This window comes from Homo sapiens, chromosome 3 (assembly GCF_000001405.40).
Source record: "Homo sapiens chromosome 3, GRCh38.p14 Primary Assembly".
Lineage (NCBI taxonomy): Eukaryota > Metazoa > Chordata > Mammalia > Primates > Hominidae > Homo > Homo sapiens.
Genome location: NC_000003.12, coordinates 21,980,140 through 22,001,369, shown reverse-complemented (window position 1 = coordinate 22,001,369; position 21,230 = coordinate 21,980,140). Strand labels below are relative to the sequence as shown.

General features: G+C 38.5%; 1 protein-coding gene across 8 annotated transcripts in view, besides 1 other annotated feature; it reads left to right on the top strand.

Moving 5' to 3' along the window:
• ZNF385D (zinc finger protein 385D) overlaps positions 1 to 21,230 on the top strand; it is a 960,546-nt gene that overhangs the window by 371,394 nt on the left and 567,922 nt on the right. The gene's annotated exons all lie outside the window — the stretch shown is intronic.
• Positions 12,433 to 13,010: an enhancer, noted in NCBI's record as "H3K27ac-H3K4me1 hESC enhancer chr3:22029852-22030429 (GRCh37/hg19 assembly coordinates)". NCBI's record gives its function as "activates a minimal SCP1, AML or CMV promoter by ChIP-STARR-seq in naive H9 embryonic stem cells {active_cell/tissue: H9 hESC(naive)}" and the evidence as "EXISTENCE:reporter gene assay evidence [ECO:0000049][PMID:30033119]".

The window sequence follows — 21,230 nt, the reverse complement described above, 5'->3', positions numbered from 1 at the left end:
TTTGACTTAAAGTTTGTTTTATCTGATACTAGTATCTCCTGCTTGTTTTTGGTTTCCATTTGCATGGAATATCTTTTTCCATCTCTTCACTTTCAGTCCATATGTGTCTACCAGTGAAGTGAGTTTCTTGTAGGCAGCATATTATTGCTTAAAAAAAATCCTTTCAGCTAATCTATATCTTTTAAGTAGGGAATTTAGTCTGTTTATATTCAAGACGATTATTGGTAGGTGAGGACTTATTCCTATCCTTTTGTTAATTGCTTTCTGGTTATTTTGTATGTCTTTTGTTCCTTTTTTCCTCTCTTACTGTTTCTCATTGCAGTTCATTGATTTTATATAACATTCAGTAACCTTTGATTCCTTAATCTTACTAGTTTATTTGCTCTACAAATGAATTTTATTTTATTTTATATTTTTATGATGGCAGATAATTTTCCTTACACTTCCTGATGTAGAAAAAAAAAAACTCCCTTAAATATTTCTTGTAGGACTGGTCTAATTGTAATGAATTCCCTCAGTTTTTGCTTGTCTGGGAAAGACTCATTTTTAATTTTTCAAGGTTAGATTTCCTAGGTATATTATTCTTCATTAACGGGTTTTTTTTTCCTCTTTCAGAACTTTGAATTTATTATCCCATTCTCTCCTGGCCTGTAAGGTTTCTGCTATTAATCTGCTATTAGTCTGTTGGAGGTTCTTTCATATTTGACTTGATGCTTTTCCCTTGCTGTTTCTAGAATTCTCTCTTTGTCTTTGATTTTTTTTTCAAAGTGAAAGGAAGTTTATTAAGAAAGTAAAGGAATAAAATAATGGGTATTCCATAGACAGAGCAACCCCCAAGGGCTGTTGGTTGCCCATTTTTATGGGCATATTATTTCTTGATGATACACTAAACAAGGGGCGGATTATTCATGCCTCCCCTTTTTAGACCATATAGGGTAACTTCCTGACATTGCCATGGCATTTGTAAACTGTCATGGCACTGGTAGGAGTGTAGCAGTGAGGATGACCAGAGGTCACTTTGACGGTTTAACTACAATGTGCCTCAGATAAGGCCTTTTTTTTTTTGAGATGGAGTCTCGCTCTGTCACCCAGGCTGGAGTGCCGTGGCATGATCTCCACTCACTGCAAGCTCCACCTCCTGGGTTCAAGCCATTCTCCTGCCTCAGCCTCCTTAGTAGCTGGGACTACAGGCAGCCACCACCACGCCAGGCTAATTTTTTGTATTTTGAGTAGAGACGGGGTTTCACTGTGTTAGCCAGGATGGTCTTGATCTCCTGAGCTCATGATCTGCCCGCCTCGGCCTCCCAAAGTGCTGGAATTACAGGCGTGAGCCACCATGCCCGGCCTAGATAAAACCTTTTTGGATTGAATCTATTTGGGGATTTTTGAGCTTCTTGTGTCTGGATGTGTGTATCTCTTCCAAACTTGAGAACTTGTTAGCTATTATTTTTTAAAATAGTTTCTCTTTGCCTTCACCCATCTCTTCTCCTTCTGTGATGCCCAGAATTAGAATATGTGGTCATTTTATGGTGTCCCATATATCACACAGTTTTTCTTCATCACTTTTTGTTTTTCATTATTATTATTTTTTTTTTTTTTGCCTGACTGGGGTATTTTACAAGAACTACTTTCAAGTTTAGAAATTCTTCTGCTTAATCTAGTCTATTTTTGAAGCTATCTGTTGGACTGCTATAAGTCTTACTAGTATAAATCTCATTTAATGTGTAAGAACACTGAGTGTCAGAGGTGGTAGCTAAAGTCCCAAGTTCAAAAATGAGAAGTAGAACCATATTTGAAAACTAGTCTGACCATAGATTCTTCTCAAGAGAATAATACAGTGAAGTTAAAGAATTTGATGAGAATATTGACAAAGACAAAGCCCCAAAATGTTGGTGTTGGCTGATTTTTTTCTCTTAATTTTGAAGAATTTTACTCGCAAATCATTTAAATCAAACAAGCAATATTAAATATTGTCATCCCATACACTAAGATTGCATTCAAAGTTGTCTATAACATCAGATGTGACAGGCAAAAAAAAAAAATTTTTGTTTTGTCTCAAGTATCCTTTCAGATAGGTGCAACAGTTAAGACATCAAACTAACTTTATAGAATATGTTTGTCAGTGAAAACCTGAGGAAATATCCTTGCTATTTGACATTTTAATGCAGTGTAATGCCCTTAGCTTTTTATTGATAAAAACAACAGAACCTCAGAGGAAATGCTGCAGTTCTGTGAACCTGACTGATGTGCATAGCTGTATGTCTACATGGCTAAAATCAAATATGGAATGAGTACGTCTGGTAAAAGCAGACAGGACTTAGGAGGTGTAGTAAAGCCTTTTAAAAAGGCTAAACCGAGAAAACCAAGTAAACTATCTCAATTGGATGCCAGTAATTGATAACCTCTTTATCACTTTTTAAGGGGTGTGCACCACAAAAGAAAATTTCTGCTTTAATATAATTTTCCTAGTTAATCCAAGAACTCTTCAGTATGTGCATGTGAGCATGTGTGTGTCTGTGTCTATGTGTGTGCGTATGTTACAACAAACTCCCTTGACAGTCTATTTAAGCCTATGCACTTCTAAGAATGATAATTTTAAATAACTGAAGTATTGAAATACAAATAATTAAAAAGAAAACTGATTACATTAAAATACCATTCTCAAAATATTTTTAAAAGGTGATGTTCTTGTTTATTAACATAGGTTCAAAATATGTTCTTGTTATTAACACACTAATAACAAATCTCTTGGCTGGGCTAGTAACAACTGATACTTCAAGGTGCTGATAAGTATAAACAATAGTTAAAGATATCTGCAACAAGAAATTCCTATGATGTTTATTGATGAGAAAGTCATAGGAATTGCCAACAGCCCTGTGGCTGATGTCTACATTTATAATTGAAAGATATGCTGAATTTCTCATAGTGACACTAAAAGTAAAGATGGAATTTTGATGGAGGTGTACCCCAAAATTAGGGCTCAGCTTGGGAGGGTTCTTGGCTTTGGTCAGGAAAGAATTCAAGAGCAAGCCAACAGTAAAAGAAACCAAATGTATTAGAGCACCGGTGCACAGCAAAATGGCTAGTCCATAGACAGGGCAGAGTTATCACATAGGCAGAGTAGCACTCATGGATTGCTGCCTGGCTACATTTATACCTACCCATAATTATATGCTAAATAAGGGGTAGGTTATTCACTAACTTTCTGGGAAAGGAGTAGGAAGTTCCTGGAACCATATAAGGTAACTTCCAGGCACCGTCATGGCATTTGTATATTGGCATGGCACTGGTGGGAGTGGCATATAGCATGCAAATATATTATTAATAAAATTCATAGTCCTGGCTGGTTTTGGCTGGCTGGTTTCTTTGCTACATCCTGTTTTGATCTGCAGGGTTATCAAAACAAGTCTTACTGATCTTCTATCTCAATTTCTCCCCTAATTTCTCTCTCTCTCTTTCTGTCACACACACACACACACACACACACACACACACACGCGCGCGCGCGCGCGCCAAATAGCAACATCAACAAAAAACCCCACCAGATTCAGATTCTATCCAGAGACTTTGAGTTAAGAATTCCTGTATTAACACATTCCTACTTTATAATATTATCTGCCATTTCCTTGAAAAAGTAGAACAAGTTAAATGGTCCTTTTGGTATCTAAAGTTAACAAAATCTGATAACTTGAAAGAGAGAAATGTGAAAGAGAAATAAACTATGATATGCAAACACATGAAACACTTACACTCTCTCTCTCTTTTCCTCCATTTCTCTCTACTTCCTCTCCATATTATACTGTTTTTTTTTTCTGCAGAGATAGTTACATTTAAAGAAAGTAGATTTTAAAAATCACATTTTTTTATTATTATTATACTTTAAGTTCTAGGGTACATGTGCACAACATGCAGATTTGTTACATATGTATACATGTGCCATGTTGGTGTGCTGCACCCGTTAACTCGTCATTTACATTAGGTATATCTCCTAATGCTATCCCTCCCCAATCCCCCCACCACACGACAGACCCCAGTGTGTGATGTTCCCCACCCTGTGTCCAAAGTGTTCTCATTGTTCAATTCCCACCTATGAGTGAGAACATGTGGTATTTGGTTTTCTGTCCTTGAAATAGTTTGCTCAGAATGATGGTTTCCAGCTTCATCCATGTCCCTACAAAGGGCATGAACTCACCCTTTTTTACAGCTGCATAGTATTCCATGGTTTATATGTGCCATATTTTCTTAATCCAGTCTATCATTGATGGACATTTGGGTTGGTTCCAAGTCTTTGCTATTGAAAAAAAATCACAGTTTTTTTTTAAAACTGTTCCTTTGATGGTTTCATTAAGAAATAAAGTTTAAATAACATTGGTTTAATCTCTCAAAAAACTAAAATAGATTTGGTTTATATTTATATTTGTCGTTTGGAAACAAACTCAATTGCTATCAGTTGACAAGGATGCCAGAATAAGTTATTGCTTAATCACTCGGGCAGAGAAGCAATAAATTAATCGCTTCTCTTTTTCCAATAGAAATATGAATGAATGTGCTAATCCTCCTTACCCTTTGATGGAATAGACATCTTCATAACTAAGGTTAAGATAGTATTTAAAAGTTTTAGGGGGGTTCCTATTCTTGGCAAAGAAAATTACACTTTCCAATATAAAATACTTTTGAATGAGAAGTGATTTTAAAAAAATGTATGTAAGTTGAAGTCTGAACAACTACAACTATGCTAACATAAGCTGAAACATATGTGAGAAATAAATGTGTGACAGTGAGTGCTCACTCATTAAACTAATAGAATAATAGATTATTCTATCAAAATATGAGTTTCAGTAGAGGTGACTAGATGGCACCCGTCATTTATTTCTTCCACAAAGAAGGACCAAAACAGTAAGTAGATAACCACACTTTGGATAGATCATCTGAGAGAGAACACTGAAATTTAGCCGAGGAGTGACAGGGAGCCTCTGAGGCATGGAAAATGAAGGAAATAAAGCAGCCATCCTGGTCACGGTCACTTGGAGCCAGGAGAAACTCCACTGCAGGGAAAAGGTAAATGAAGTATACCCAGCAGTCCACATTCCCACCATTGACTCCTGCCGTCCCAACCATGGAAGAGTCCCTTGATGCTTGTGGACCCTGAGACTAGTATAGGAAGCTGCTGGGAGTCCACATGATGGCATTATTCTGGAGAGGTAGTTTGTGCTGGGTCCCATACACACGCTGAGTCCCAAGCAGCTATAGCACAGCTCCATTTTGAGAGCCCAGCCCACCAGATTATATCCTACCCTGGGGCACAATAGCCCCTGCACCTGCACATCCCTGAGCTTTGCTGACATTCCCCTGTGTCCACCCAAAGGGCTGCAGGATCACGATGTCAGCTAGACTCAGTGGTGCAGCCAGGTCCCCAGCACTCTAGCCCACACAGTATCCTACACCCCAAGGTATAGACAATGTAGCACACTGGGAAAGCTGCCCCTAGGACAAAGAGAACCAAAGTGTATCCCCACTAGAGCTTCTGCTTGCCTGGCGATGCTGACACTGACAGCAAACTCTCCCTACCAACTAGCAGTAGGGGCTCCTTGCCCCTGAATGTGCCTTCTGGCAATCTGGAGAATGGTCCTCTTGGGCACCATTCTGGGGGCTGAGGACAAGCCACTCCTGCCTACCACTGTAACCGCCACTGCTTGAGAATGCCATTTGGGGGTATGGGGATGGACTTGTCTCACCCACCACAGCTGGCACTCATATGTACCATTAGAGGACCTGAAGAAAGACCTGCCCACTCATCACTGCCACCAGCACTCATGCACATCATCCAGCGACCTGGGGATTGATCCACCTCACTCACTGCCACCTACACCTGTGCATACCTTCAGGGGGCCTGGAGATGGGTCAGCTCAGCCTGCCAGTGCCCAAGCATGTCATCTGAGATCCTGGGGATAAACTAGCCTCACTCACTGTAGCCTGTGCCCATGTTCACACTCGGGGGTCCTGAGGACAGCCCTGCCCCACCAGGTGCTCCCTTACCAGTGCCTTTGTGCACTGATGGGGGCCTGGGAATTGACCCACATGGCCTTTTGCCACTGGCACCTATGCATGCCTTCTTGGCCACCCTGACACAACTATACCATTGGCCCCTACCACATATGCTACCTGGAGGCCTGAGGTCTGGCCTGCCCAAGCCACTGCTGGCACCTCTGTGTTGTTGCCTAGGGGCCTGAAGGTTGGCTTATTGATGCTACTGATATAAATGATGTCATGCACACTGCCCAGGGGCCTGACGACCTATCCACTTATTTGGCCCATTGCTGTCACTGCTGGCACCAAGAAAGTTGCCTGGAGGCAAGAGGATTGGCCTACCTGGACCCACTAACATCACTGCACATGTATGCCATCTGAGGGCTCAAGTGTTTACACACCCAGCCCACTGCTGTTGCCACTAGTGCCCAATGACCAGCTGATCTAAAGTACCCATACATAGCCAAGCCTTACCACCACTTCCACTAACAACTACAGCCTAAGGAACTTAGGAAATCATAGACACTATTGATGCATATTACAGCTGAAGAAATCATACTGAGACTACACTACCATGCCCATCCAAAAATCAAAGCCAAAGCACCCTACACAATCAGCACTATTGATACATCTATAGTAAGAAGTCTTTCCCTGTAAAAGCCAGTCCAGAAAATTGGGAGAAGTGACTTATATCAGATATGCAGATATCAATGTAAGGACATAAGAAGCATGAAAAAGCAAGCTAACATAACATTTCTGAAGGAACACAATAATTCTCAAGCAATAGATTCCAATGAAAGAGAAATCTATGAAATGCCTAAAAAAAAATATAAAATGGTGATCATAATAAAGCTCAGTGAGATACAATAGAATACAGATAAACAACATAAATAATTCAGGAAAACAATTCATTATCTGAATAAGAAATTCAACAAAGATAGATATGATTTTTAAAACCCATAAATTCTGGAACTAAAGAATTCGGTGAATAAAATTAACAAGTACAATAGATAAACTTTCCAGGATTAACACTTTGGCATAATCTCAACTTATCACTTTCCCTGTATCATATCTCCAATTTGCTGATGAATGCTGTTTAAGTAAAAACAGTATGTAGATCTTATGTGTTTAATGACCCAACTAACACCAAAGCCTACCAGATGTCCAGGAACACACCTGTAGTCAAAGTTTGGTTTGTTTAGCTTGCTGCAGCAAGGAAAACCATATCCCAGTAAGAGAATTTAGAAGGATCTCAGTAAGAAAGTTTGTGAAGGGACTTTGTGTAGGTTTGGGCTTATGCTAAATGATTCTTAGAAGGGTCTTGGAAAGGAGAAACCAACTCCAGATTAGGTACTGGTGAGGCAGAGCAGCTTAGCAGTTGGGCACCTTAAAATCCAGTAACTTAATTGAGGGGACATGATGAATGCTTGGTTTGGCATTGGAAAAAAGCAGAAATTATACAAAAAGGAGATGTTACTCATTTTTCAGCTGTGGTATAACCATGGCAGAAACACTGAAACATTATGTATGAGTAAGGACGCTATATGTGGTCTTGACAGTGTCCCATTGGAAGCAATTTTTTTTCTCTGCTTCAAATGATCTGCAGGAATGTTTTTGTATTAGTAGGAAGGAACATTGCATTGTGATTCCCAGCAAAACTTAATTTTCATTTTCTCATGATATAGCTCTTTTAGAAAAAAGTAATTCCACTAGATGTTTTTATTCATTTTTTAAAAATGTTCCAAAGTACCTAATCAACTACATTATTAATGATGAATTAATGCATAGTTTAATCAAACAGTGAAAAATTGATTAAAATCCAGAATCAGTATGTTTTTGTGGGAAGTGATAGTTAAATGTGCTTATGAGACTTTTCACTACTTTTGAATAATCATAAGATTATTCATTTTCCAGTAGGTTATTATTTAGGAGAGACCAGAGAGAGACAATCAATAATTTTACCACAGTGAAGTAAATTATCACAAAATGGCATGTGCAGAGATCAGAGAAGATAAGAAACTTTTTTAAAACAACTCAAGGAAACATCCCAAATAGTGTTACAATTAAACTTGGGCTTGGAGTTTTGTAACATTCTGTTAAGGGAAAACCAAAATTTGCATGCAAGAAGGAGGCCGACAGAGACAGATATGAATGTCAAAGTATTATTCACATGCTTTGTTTTCCATAGCTGATATCTTTTCCCTAAGTACCACAGTGGAAATAGAAATACAAATTAAATCTACAGGAGAGTTATGTATCTGGCATGTTGATAAGAAAACTTTTAGATCAGATTCAGGATTGGCAAGGATGCAGTTAAATGAGCAAGCTCAAAAATTTCTGAAAGGAGAGAAAATTCCTATACTACTCCTGTGGGTGATTTGACGATTTGTACAATTTGGTAATTAGAAATGTTAAAATCCATTAGCCTGGTGACTTCACTGCTTGGAGTTTATACTAAGAAACTCATCAGCTATGCATACTAAGATTTACACATGAAGATTTTTATTGCAAATAATTCAAAATATCTGAGGGACTAGAAACAACATAAATATTTAACAAGACAGAAGAGAGTAAATCAATTATGAAACAGCCATAGACTAGAACACTTTAAAGCTATGTAAAACATGTTTGTGAAGAAAATGTAATGACTTGGGAACATGCTCATCATATTACATGGATAGCAATATAGTATAATAATGCGAACTTTAGCTTCAGAGAGATTTTTCTTGTCATATCTTCATCACAAACTATTAACATAGCCTGAGAAAGTGATTTAAACTATTTCATCCTCTTCCTATGGAAAATGGGTTAATTAGGATAACATTTAAAGAGCTTAGTAACTTGCACCACGGGAAGAGTTGAATACATGATAGCTGTGATGGATGATGATAATATAATTTGAAACTGCTATTTTGCTTCTAACTCACAGAAACGGTTATTCTACCTCCTCCAGCTGCTGTCATCTATTATTTGTATGTCTTCTATCTTGTTTAACATAGATAATAGCTAGAGTGTGTTTGTATGTTTTGCCTGCAGAACAAATAGTGAAGGCTTTCAGATACCTGCAGCTACTAGATACCTTCTAGGGGCTTTTCTGATCTTTGACTTCTACTGGATATCTATATTCTGTGAAATTAGATATTATGTTGTCTGTTTGGCAATATTTATGGTATTGCTTGGTTAGAGTGGAGGTAAAAATGGTAGCTAATAACAATATAATGTACTGATTGCTGGGCATTATACATTTACACATAGCTTAACTCATTTAATTCTCACAGCAACTACATAAGGCAGGACTGTTATTCTCATTCCAGAGATGAGCATGCTAAAGAGAATAGTTAGCTAGCCTAAATTCACACAGATAGTAGATAAGCCAAGATTTAAGCCCAGGTGGTCTGGCCATGGAGTGCATAATTCATCAAAATACTGTCTTTTAAAAAGATTGGAGTGTAAAATCCATGCAGGCATGCACTATAACTCACTCATATATCACTGAAATTCTACTTCTTACCACTGTGACTAGTAAAAGTGACAACCTCAATAAATCTTGCCCAAAGCATGACTGACTGACCCAACAGTGAAGAGGATGGACATTTCAAGTTCCAAATGCAATCTGGACCATGAAGCAATCCTGATAATCATTCTGCAGCTGCCCTTTACCTCCTAGGCTCTTAGGACAAGTATTTACTGTTGAAGACGTGCCATAATACAGTTCTTTGTCTTATTAGCTGTCGTGCTAGAGCATTCTTATTTGTGGTGGAACATTTTGCCCACCATTTGACCAACGATTTCTAAATGATGGGAATAACACAAAATATTAAGATGACTTCCAAATTGTTTTTTCTTATTTTAGCTGCATAATTACCACAGTTTTATCAAATACACACATACATACCCCAAATGTTTGCTAACAAAACAAATGTGATTTATTTCCAGTTTATACTTAGAAAATTCACGGCTTTGTGGTGGCATGTGGCTATAGATCTGAAAGCTGAGAGCATGATTTTGGCTCTTGTTTTAGGTTTGCTTGACTGAATAGTTTATTATAACTACAATTTTAAAATCCCTTAGAAACATGAAACGATCTTTGCCAGAAGTACAACTGCTTTCCATCTAAAATGCCAGCATTTCAGTGTGTCTTGCAACATTTTAATTAGTTTGCTTATGGAACCAAACACATGCATAAAACACTGACAGCAAAGGAAAGTCTCCCTCACCGTAATTAGTTTTTGCAAATGATTACTTACATTTTCATAATTATTCAAATATTTTTGTACAAGGAATTTTACATTTTAAATAGATAATTATACCTCCGTAACAAACCACTGCAAATTAGAAGCTTTGATATACCATTCTAATTCTTGGTACAGTGCACTGTTGGTATTGCCATTAGATCACGCATTTGTTGTTTAGAAAGATAGATCCGCTGTATCAACCTGTTAAATGTGAGTTATTGCCAGAAGATTTGTTGTCCTCACATGTAGCATTCTGTTTTCAAAGGAAATCCAAGCTATACAGTTTTCAATAGTTAAAGAAGTTCAGAATTTTCCCATCTGAGTTAGCAATAAGTGTTTCAGCTCATACAGTTTTTCTGTAGATGTTGTAGAAACAGGCTGAGCTCTCTAAAAAGAAAGTGAGGGAAAGACTCAAGATTTCTGTAACTAAATTAGAGTTAATTGATAACTTTATATATTCTAGTATCCCTGTGCCAGATAGAGTTATTATTTAGAGAAAGTTATAATTTATAGCACATACATCATATATTAAGTACAAATATAATTACTGATAATTGCATATTTATATAATAGAAATACATATTAACTCATAAAAGTAATTTTAAGCAATAGAAATGAGCAGAAATGGAAACAATGATCTTTTCTAACCTTATCACCCTGATAAAGGCACAGGCAATATTATGAGCTCTTGCTAGGAAGTTAGGTAAGTTCATAGCCTGGTAAGATAGAAAATGGAGAGTGATTTCTAACTTTGGATTTGTGAAGAGTTCCTTTTTGCTCCCAAATAACTACTGATGTTGACCAAGGCTTTGCTAGATGTCATCATGAGAAGAAGAAAGTATTACATTTATGCCAGTGCCAATAAACCCCTAAGATGACAGTGCAATTGCACTGGCAAATCTGGAATTTTAGCTTAGAGATTCTTCTTTTCAAAGAAAATAAGCATCCTATAATCATTGCTCAGATCTGACATAGCCTCACAAAAATTTTTTTAAAAGATAATTTGACAAAGGCCCTGTGAAACAATAGCAGAATCTTGCATTTGGAGTCAGGGTAAAATGTACCTTTTAAAAATTATTTCCCATTTAATATTTGTCTTTAAAGCTAAAATAAAACAGATAGGTGGAAATTGTTGTGTTTGGGTGCTGGAAATGTTACACATAAATCTTTGTGTGAAATCAGGCACACATGTGAAAGCTCCAGGGAGATTAGAAACAGAAAGAAATTCTCACTCAACGGCTTGACATATACCATCAACAGACATGTGAAAGTGGCACAGCTTGTGCCAAAAAAGATAGTAAGTTATCAAGAATATAATTTTGTGTAACCTGGGTCAGTTGAAGCATTTTAATGCGCTTAGATGAGGAGAACATTCAAAGGTAATTACATACTTACAAGACTGGATGGTTTGGCTGTCCTTTTTTTTTTATTATTATTGTGGAAAGAAAACATGATGTCATAAGAACATGCATCCAGTGTTTCCAAGGATAAGAATAAAATAGCTTTTGGTATTTAGTATTGTGTAAGACATTTAAAGCCTATTTCATCATTTATTCAAATATTTGTTCCAAGTCCAAAACTGACATACCTTTTGAGAGAATGATAATTATTTGCTAATAATTGTCTTTTACATGTCTAAACCGATCCATAATCCACAAATAATTAGTTTCCGACTGTTGCATCAGTGCATTGTGTCAGAAAATCATAACTGTATTCCTACGTAATTTGGAGAATGGCAAATTTGGAAAATAATGAACATATTCCAGAAATGCATCCTAGGAGACCAAAGTCCAGTCCAAACCAGTTTATTATAACTACAATTTTAAAAAATTGTAGTTGTAAGAAACAAGTTGGTTGAGCTTTGATATGTAAGGTTAAACCACGACCATTCCTACAGAAACTATTCTAAAAAATTGAGGGAGATGGGGTCGGAGGAGCCAAGATGGCCGAATAGGAACAGCTCCGGTCTACAGCTCCCAGCGTGAGCGACGCAGAAGACGGGTGATTTCTGCATTTCCATCTGAGGTACCGGGTTCATCTCACTAGGGAGTGCCAGACAGTGGGCACAGGCCAGTGGGTGCGCGCACCGTGCGCGAGCCGAAGCAGGGCGAGGCATTGCCTCACCTGGGAAGCGCAAGGGGTCCAAGTCAAAGAAAGGGGTGATGGACGCACCTGGAAAATCGGGTCACTCCCACCCGAATATTGCACTTTTCAGACCGGCTTAAAAAACGGCGCACCACGAGAGTATATCCCACACCTGGCTCGGAGGGTCCTACGCCCACGGAGTCTCGCTGATTGCTAGCACAGCAGTCTGAGATCAAACTGCAAAGCGGCAGCGAGGCTGGGGGAGGGGCGCCCGCCATTGCCCAGGCTTGCTTAGGTAAACAAAGCAGCCAGGAAGCTCCAACTGGGTGGAGCCCACCACAGCTCAAGGAGGCCTGCCTGCCTCTGTAGGCTCCACCTCTGCGGGCAGGGCACAGACAAACAAAAAGACAGCAGTAACCTCTGCAGACTTAAATGTCCCTGTCTGACAGCTCTGAACAGAGCAGTGGTTCTCCCAGCATGCAGCTGGAGATCTGAGAACGGGCAGACTGCCTCCTCAAGTGGGTCCCTGACCCCTGACCCCCGAGCAGCCTAACTGGGAGGCACCCCCCAGCAGGGGCACACTGACACCTCACACGGCAGGGTATTCCAACAGACCTGCAGCTGAGGGTCCTGTCTGTTAGAAGGAAAACTAACAAACAGAAAGGACATCCACACCGAAAACCCATCTGTACATCACCATCATCAAAGACCAAAAGTAGATAAAACCACAAAGATGGGGAAAAAACAGAACAGAAAAACTGGAAACTCTAAAACGCAGAGCGCCTCTCCTCCTCCAAAGGAACGCAGTTCCTCACCAGCAACGGAACAAAGCTGGATGGAGAATGATTTTGACGAGTTGAGAGAAGAAGGCTTCAGATGATCAAATGACTCTGAGCTACGGGAGGACATTCAAACCAAAGGCAAAGAAGTTGAAAACTTTGAAAAAAATTTAGAAGAATGTATAACTAGAATAACCACTACAGAGAAGTGCTTAAAGGAGCTGATGGAGCTGAAAACCAAGGCTCGAGAACTACGTGAAGAATGCAGAAGCTTCAGGAGCCAATGCAATCAACTGGAAGAAAGGGTATCAGCAATGGAAGATGAAATGAATGAAATGAAGTGAGAAGGGAAGTTTAGAGAAAAAAGAATAAAAAGAAATGAGCAAAGCCTCCAAGAAGTATGGGACTATGTGAAAAGACCAAATCTACGTCTGATTGGTGTACCTGAAAGTGATGGGGAGAATGGAACCAACTTGGAAAACACTCTGCAGGATATTATCCAGGAGAACTTCCCCAACCTAGCAAGGCAGGCCAATGTTCAGATTCAGGAAATACAGAGAACACCACAAAGATACTCCTCGAGAAGAGCAACTCCAAGACACATAATTGTCAGATTCACCAAAGTTGAAATGAAGGAAAAAATGTTAAGGGCAGCCAGAGAGAAAGGTCGGGTTACCCTCAAAGGGAAGCCCATCAGACTAACAGTGGATCTCTCGGCAGAAACCCTACAAGCCAGAAGAGAGTGGGGGCCAATATTCAACATTCTTAAAGAAAAGAATTTTCAACCCAGAATTTCATATCCAGCCAAACTAAGCTTCATAAGTGAAGGAGAAATAAAATACTTTACAGACAAGCAAATGCTGAGAGATTTTGTCACCACCAGACCTGCCCTAAAAGAGCTCCTGAAGGAAGCACTAAACATGGAAAGGAACAACCGGTACCAGCCACTGCAAAATCATGCCAAAATGTAAAGACCATCGAGACTAGGAAGAAACTGCATCAACTAACGAGCAAAATCACCAGCTAACATCATAATGACAGGATCAAATTCACACATAACAGTATTAACTTTAAATGTAAATGGACTAAATTCTCCAATTAAAAGACACAGACTGGCAAGTTGGATAAAGAGTCAAGACCCATCAGTGTGCTGTATTCAGGAAACCCATCTCACGTGCAGAGACATACATAGGCTCAAAATAAAAGGATGGAGGAAGATCTACCAAGCAAATGGAAAACAAAAAAAGGCAGGGGTTGCAATCCTAGTCTCTGATAAAACAGACTTTAAACCAACAAAGATCAAAAGAGACAAAGAAGGCCATTACATAATGGTAAAGGGATCAATTCAACAAGAGGAGCTAACTATCCTAAATATATATGCACCCAATACAGGAGCACCCAGATTCATAAAGCAAGTCCTGAGTGACCTACAAAGAGACTTAGACTCCCACACATTAATAATGGGAGACTTTAACACCCCACTGTCAACATTAGACAGATCAACGAGACAGAAAGTCAACAAGGATACCCGGGAATTGAACTCAGCTCTGCACCAAGCGGACCTAATAGACATCTACAGAACTCTCCACCCCAAATCAACAGAATATACATTTTTTTCAGCACCACACCACACCTATTCCAAAATTGACCACATGGTTGGAAGTAAAGCTCTCCACAGCAAATGTAAAAGAACAGAAATTATAACAAACTATCTCTCAGACCACAGTGCAATCAAACTAGAACTCAGGATTAAGAATCTCACTCAAAGCTGCTCAACTACATGGAAACTGAACAACCTGCTCCTGAATGACTACTGGGTACATAACAAAATGAAGGCAGAAATAAAGATGTTCTTTGAAACCAACGAGAACAAAGACACAACATACCAGAATCTCTGGGACACATTCAAAGCAGTGTGTAGAGGGAAATTTATAGCACTAAATGCCCACAAGAGAAAGCAGGAAAGATCCAAAATTGACACCCTAACATCACAATTAAAAGAACTAGAAAAGCAAGAGCAAACACATTCAAAAGCTAGCAGAAGGCAAGAAATAACTAAAATCAGAGCAGAACTGAAGGAAATAGAGACACAAAAAACCCTTCAAAAAATCAATGAATCCAGGAGCTGGTTTTTTGAAAGGATCAACAAAATTGATAGACTGCTAGGAAGACTAATAAAGAAAAAAAGAGAGAAGAATCAAATAGACACAATAAAAAATGATAAAGGGGATATCACCACCAATCCCACAGAAATACAAACTACCATCAGAGAATACTACAAACACCTCTACGCAAATAAACTAGAAAATCTAGAAGAAACGGATACATTCCTCGACACATACACTCTCCCAAGACTAAACCAGGAAGAAGTTGAATCTCTGAATAGACCAATAACAGGAGCTGAAATTGTGGCAATAATCAATAGTTTACCAACCAAAAAGAGTCCAGGACCAGATGGATTCACAGCCGAATTCTACCAGAGGTACAAGGAGGAACTGGTACCATTCCTTCTGAAACTATTCCAATCAATAGAAAAAGAGGGAATCCTCCCTAACTCATTTTATGAGGCCAGCATCATCCTGATACCAAAGCCAGGCAGAGACACAACCAAAAAAGAGAATTTTAGACCAATACCCTTGATGAACATTGATGCAAAAATCCTCAATAAAATACTGGCAAACTGAATCCAGCAGCACATCAAAAAGCTTATCCACCATGATCAAGTGGGCTTCATCCCTGGGATGCAAGGCTGGTTCAATATATGCAAATCAATAAATGTGATCCAGCATATAAACAGAGCCAAAGACAAAAACCACATGATTATCTCAATAGATGCAGAAAAAGCCTTTGACAAAATTCAACAACCCTTCATGCTAAAAACTCTCAAGAAATTAGGTATTGATGGGACGTATTTCAAAATAATAAGAGCTATCTATGACAAACCCACAGCCAATATCATACTGAATGGGCAAAAACTGGAAGCATTCCCTTTGAAAACTGGAACAAGACAGGGATGCCCTCTCTCACCACTCCTATTCAACATAGTGTTGGAAGTTCTGGCCAGGGCAATCAGGCAGGAGAAGGAAATAAAGGGTATTCAATTAGGAAAAGAGGAAGTCAAATTGTCCCTGTTTGCAGACGACATGATTGTTTATCTAGAAAACCCCATTGTCTCAGCCCAAAATCTCCTTAAGCTGATAAGCAACTTCAGCAAAGTCTCAGGATACAAAATCAATGTACAAAAATCACAGGCATTCTTATACACAAAAAACAGACAAACAGAGAGCCAAATCATGAGTGAACTCCCATTCACAATTGCTTCAAAGACAATAAAATACCTAGGAATCCAACTTACAAGGGACGTGAAGGACCTCTTCAAGGAGAACTACAAACCACTGCTCAAGGAAATAAAAGAGGATACAAACAAATGGAAGAACATTCCATGCTCATGGGTAGGAAGAATCAATATCGTGAAAATGGCCATACTGCCCAAGGTAATTTATAGATTCAATGCCATCCCCATCAAGCTACCAATGACTTTCTTCACAGAATTGGAAAAAACTACTTTAAAGTTCATATGGAACCAAAAAAGAGCCCGCATCGCCAAGTCAATCCTAAGCCAAAAGAACAAAGCTGGAGGCATCACACTACCTGACTTCAAACTATACTACAAGGCTACAGTAACCAAAACAGCATGGTACTGGTACCAAAACAGAGATATAGATCAATGGAACAGAACAGAGCCCTCAGAAATAACGCCGTATACCTACAACTATCTGATCTTTGACAAACCTGAGAAAAACAAGCAATGGGGAAAGGATTCCCTATTTAATAAATGGTGCTGGGAAAACTGGCTAGCCATATGTAGAAAGCTGAAACTGGATCCCTTCCTTACACCTTATACAAAAATCAATTCAAGATGGATTAAAGATTTAAACGTTAGACCTAAAACCATAAAAACCCTAGAAGAAACCCTAGGCATTACCATTCAGGACATAGGCGTGGCCAAGGACTTCAGGTCCAAAACACCAAAAGCAATGGCAACAAAAGCCAAAATTGACAAATGGGATCTAATTAAACTAAAGAGCTTCTGCACAGCAAAAGAAACTACCATCAGAGTGAACAGGCAACCTACAACATGGGAGAAAATTTTCGCAACCTACTCATCTGACAAAGGGCTAATATCCAGAATCTACAATGAACTCAAATAAATTTACAAGAAAAAAACAAACAACCCCATCAAAAAGTGGGCGAAGGACATGAACAGACACTTCTCAAAAGAAGACATTTATGCAGCCAAAAAACACATGAAAAAATGCTCATCATCACTGGCCATCAGGGAAATGCAAATCAAAACCACTATGAGATATCATCTCACACCAGTTAGAATGGCAATCATTAAAAAGTCAGGAAACAACAGGTGCTGGAGAGGATGTGGAGAAATAGGAACACTTTTACACTGTTGGTGGGACTGTAAACTAGTTCAACCATTGTGGAAGTCAGTGTGGCGATTCCTCAGGGATCTAGAACTAGAAATACCATTTGACCCAGCCATCCCATTACTGGGTATATACCCAAATGACTATAAATCATGCTGCTATAAAGACACATGCACACGTATGTTTATTGCGGCATTATTCACAATAGCAAAGACTTGGAACCAACCCAAATGTCCAACAATGATAGACTGCATGAAGAAAATGTGGCACATATACACCATGGAATACTATGCAGCCATAAAAAATGATGAGTTCATGTCCTTTGTAGGGACATGGATGAAATTGGAAACCATCATTCTCAGTAAACTATCGCAAGAACAAAAAACCAAACACCGCATATTCTCACTCATAGGTGGGAATTGAACAATGAGATCACATGGACACAGGAAGGGGAATATCACACTCTGGGGACTGTGGTGTGGTGGGGGGAGGGGGGAGGGATAGCATTGGGAGATATACCTAATGCTAGATGACGAGTTAGTGGGTGCAGCGCACCAGCATGGCACATGTATACATATGTAACTAACCTGCACAATGTGCACATGTACCCTAAAACTTAAAGTATAATAAAAAAAAATAATAAAATAAAATAAAATAAAATAAAAAATTGAGGAGGAGGGACTCCTCCCCAATTCATTCTATGAGGCCAACAACATCTTGATACCCAAACCTGGCAAAGACACAACAAAAAAAGAAAACTTCAGCCCAATATCCTTGATAAACATCAATGTAAAAATCTTCAGCAAAATACTCGCAAACCAAATTCAGCAGCACATCAGAAAGCTAATCCGCTATGATCAAGTAGGCTTCATCCCCAGAAGGCAAGTTGGTTCAACATACACAAATCAATAAATGTGATTCATCACAAAAACAGAACTAAAGACAAAAAAAACCCACATGATTATCTCAATAGATGCAAAAAAAAAGGCTTTCAATAAAATTCAACAGCCCTTCATGTTAACAACTCTAAATAAACTAGGTATAGTAGAAACATACCTCAAAATAATAAGAGCCATCTATGACAAATCCACAGTCAATGTTATACTGAATAGGCAAAAGCTAGCAGTATTCCCCTTGAATACCAGCTCAAGACAAGTATGCTGTCTGTCACCACTTTTGTTCAACACAGTATTGGATGTCCTAACCAGAGCAAACAGGCAAGAGAAAGGAATAAAGGGCTTCCAAATAGGAAGAGAGGAAGTCAAACTATTTCTGTTTGCAGACAACATGATTATATATCTAGAAAACCTCATAGTCTCAGCCCAAAAGCTCCTCCCACTGATAAACAACTTCAGCAAAGTTAGAGGATACAAAGTCAATGCACAAAACTCACTTAGCATTCCTAGACACCAACAACAGCCAAACCAAGAGCCAAATCAGAAAGGCGATTCTACTTACAATTGCCATAAAAGAATAAAATACCTAGAAAACCTAGAAATACAGCTAACCAGGGAGGTGCAAGATCTCTACCATGGGAATTACAAAACATTGCTCAAAGAAATAAGACAAGACACAAACAAATGGAAGAAAAATCCCACGCTCATGAATAGGAAGAATCAATATAATTAAAATGGCTATACTGCCCACAGCAATTTACAAATTCAGGGCTACTCCTATCAAACTACCAGTGATGTTCTTCACAGAATTAAAAAAAAAAAAAAAAAACTATTTTAAAATTCAAATGGAACCAAAAAAGAGCCCAAATAGCCAAGGCGATCCTAAGCACAAAGAACAAAGCTGGAGGCATCATGTTACCTGACTTCAAACTATACTACAAGGGTACAGTAACAAAAACAGCATGGTACTAGTACAAAAACAGGCATGTAAACCAATGGAAAAGGATAGAAAGCCCAGAAATAAGGCCACATATCTATGAACATCTGATCGTCAACAAAGCTGACAAAAACAAGTAATGGTGAAAAGACTTCTTATTCAATAAATGGTGCTGGGAAAACTGACTAGCCATAAGCAGAAGATTGAAGCTGGACTCCTTCCATACACCATACACAAAAATCAGCTCAAGATGAATTGAATACTTAAATGTAAAACCGAAAACTGTAAAAACCCTAGAAGACAATCTAGGCAATACCACCCTGGACATAGGAACAGGCAAAGATTTTATGACAAAGACACCAAAAGCAATTGCAACAAAAGCAAAAGTTGAAATGTGGGATCTGATTAATTGTTAAGAGCATCTGCACAGCAAAAGAAATTATCAACAGGATAAACAACCTACGGAATGAGAGGAAATTTTTGCCAACTATGCATCTGACAAAGGTGTAACATCCAGCATCTATAAGGAACTTAAAAATTCGCAAGAGAAAAACAAATAGCCTCATTTAAAAGTGTTCAGTCATGAACAGACACTTCTCAAAAGAAGACATGCAGGCAGCCATCCAAGCATATTGAAAAAAATCTCTATATCACTGATCATTAGAGAAATGCAAATCAAAACCACAATGAGTTACCATCTTATACCAGTCAGAATAGCTTTTATTAAAAAGTGAAAAAGTAACAGATGCTTGTGAGGTTGCAGAAAAATGGGAACATTTATACACTGTTGGTAGGAGTGTAAATTACTTCAACCATTGTGGAAAGCAGCATAGTGATTCCTCAGTGAGCTAAAAGTACAACTATCATTCAACCCAGCAGTCCTATTATTATGTATATACCCAGAGGACTAGAAATTATTCTACCATAAAGACACATGCACGTGAATGTTCAGTACAGCACTATTCACAATAGCAAAGACATGGAATCAAACTAAATGCCTACTAAAGACAGATTGGATAAAGAAAATGTGGTACATATATACCATGGAATGCTATGCAACCATAAAAAAAGAATTAGATCATCTCTTTTGCAGGAATATAGATGGAACTGGAGGCTATTATCCTTAGCAAACTAACTCAAGAACAGAAAACCAAATATTACATGTTCTCACTTATAAGTGGGAGCCAAATGATAAGAACTTATGAACACAAAGAAGGAAACAACAGACACTGTGGTCTGGTTGAGGTTGGAAGAAAGAGGAGGGATAGGAACAGCAAAGATAACTATTGGATACTGGGCTTAATAGCTGGATGACGAAATAGTGTGTACAACAAACCCCTGGGACATGTGTTTATGTAACAAAATTTTCATATGGGCCCCCAAATCTAAAATAAAAGTTTAAAAGGAAGGTTGAACCATATGGCTGATATGTGATCTACAAAATCAGCAATTTCATGTGGTTCATTCCAAGAGTTGTTGTGTTTTATAAGTTCATATGACACTGTTTTTCACTTCAATGCTACTATTACTCATTATCTACATTATTACGTTGCATTATTATCTACTTTTATGTAATAAATCTCCCCAAAATTTAGTGGCTTAAAACAACCAAAATTTATGTCACAGTTTCCATGAGTCAGGAATTCAAAAGCGACTTAGCTGAGTTGTTCTAGTTCACGGTTTCTTGTGAAGTTACCGTTAAGTTATTGGACAGTGCTGAATTAACTGAAAGCTTGACTGGGGCTGGAGGATCTACTTACAAGGTAGCTCATTCACATGCCAAGAAAGTTACTGTTGGTTGTTGGCAAGAGGTCTTAGTAGTTCCTTGCCCC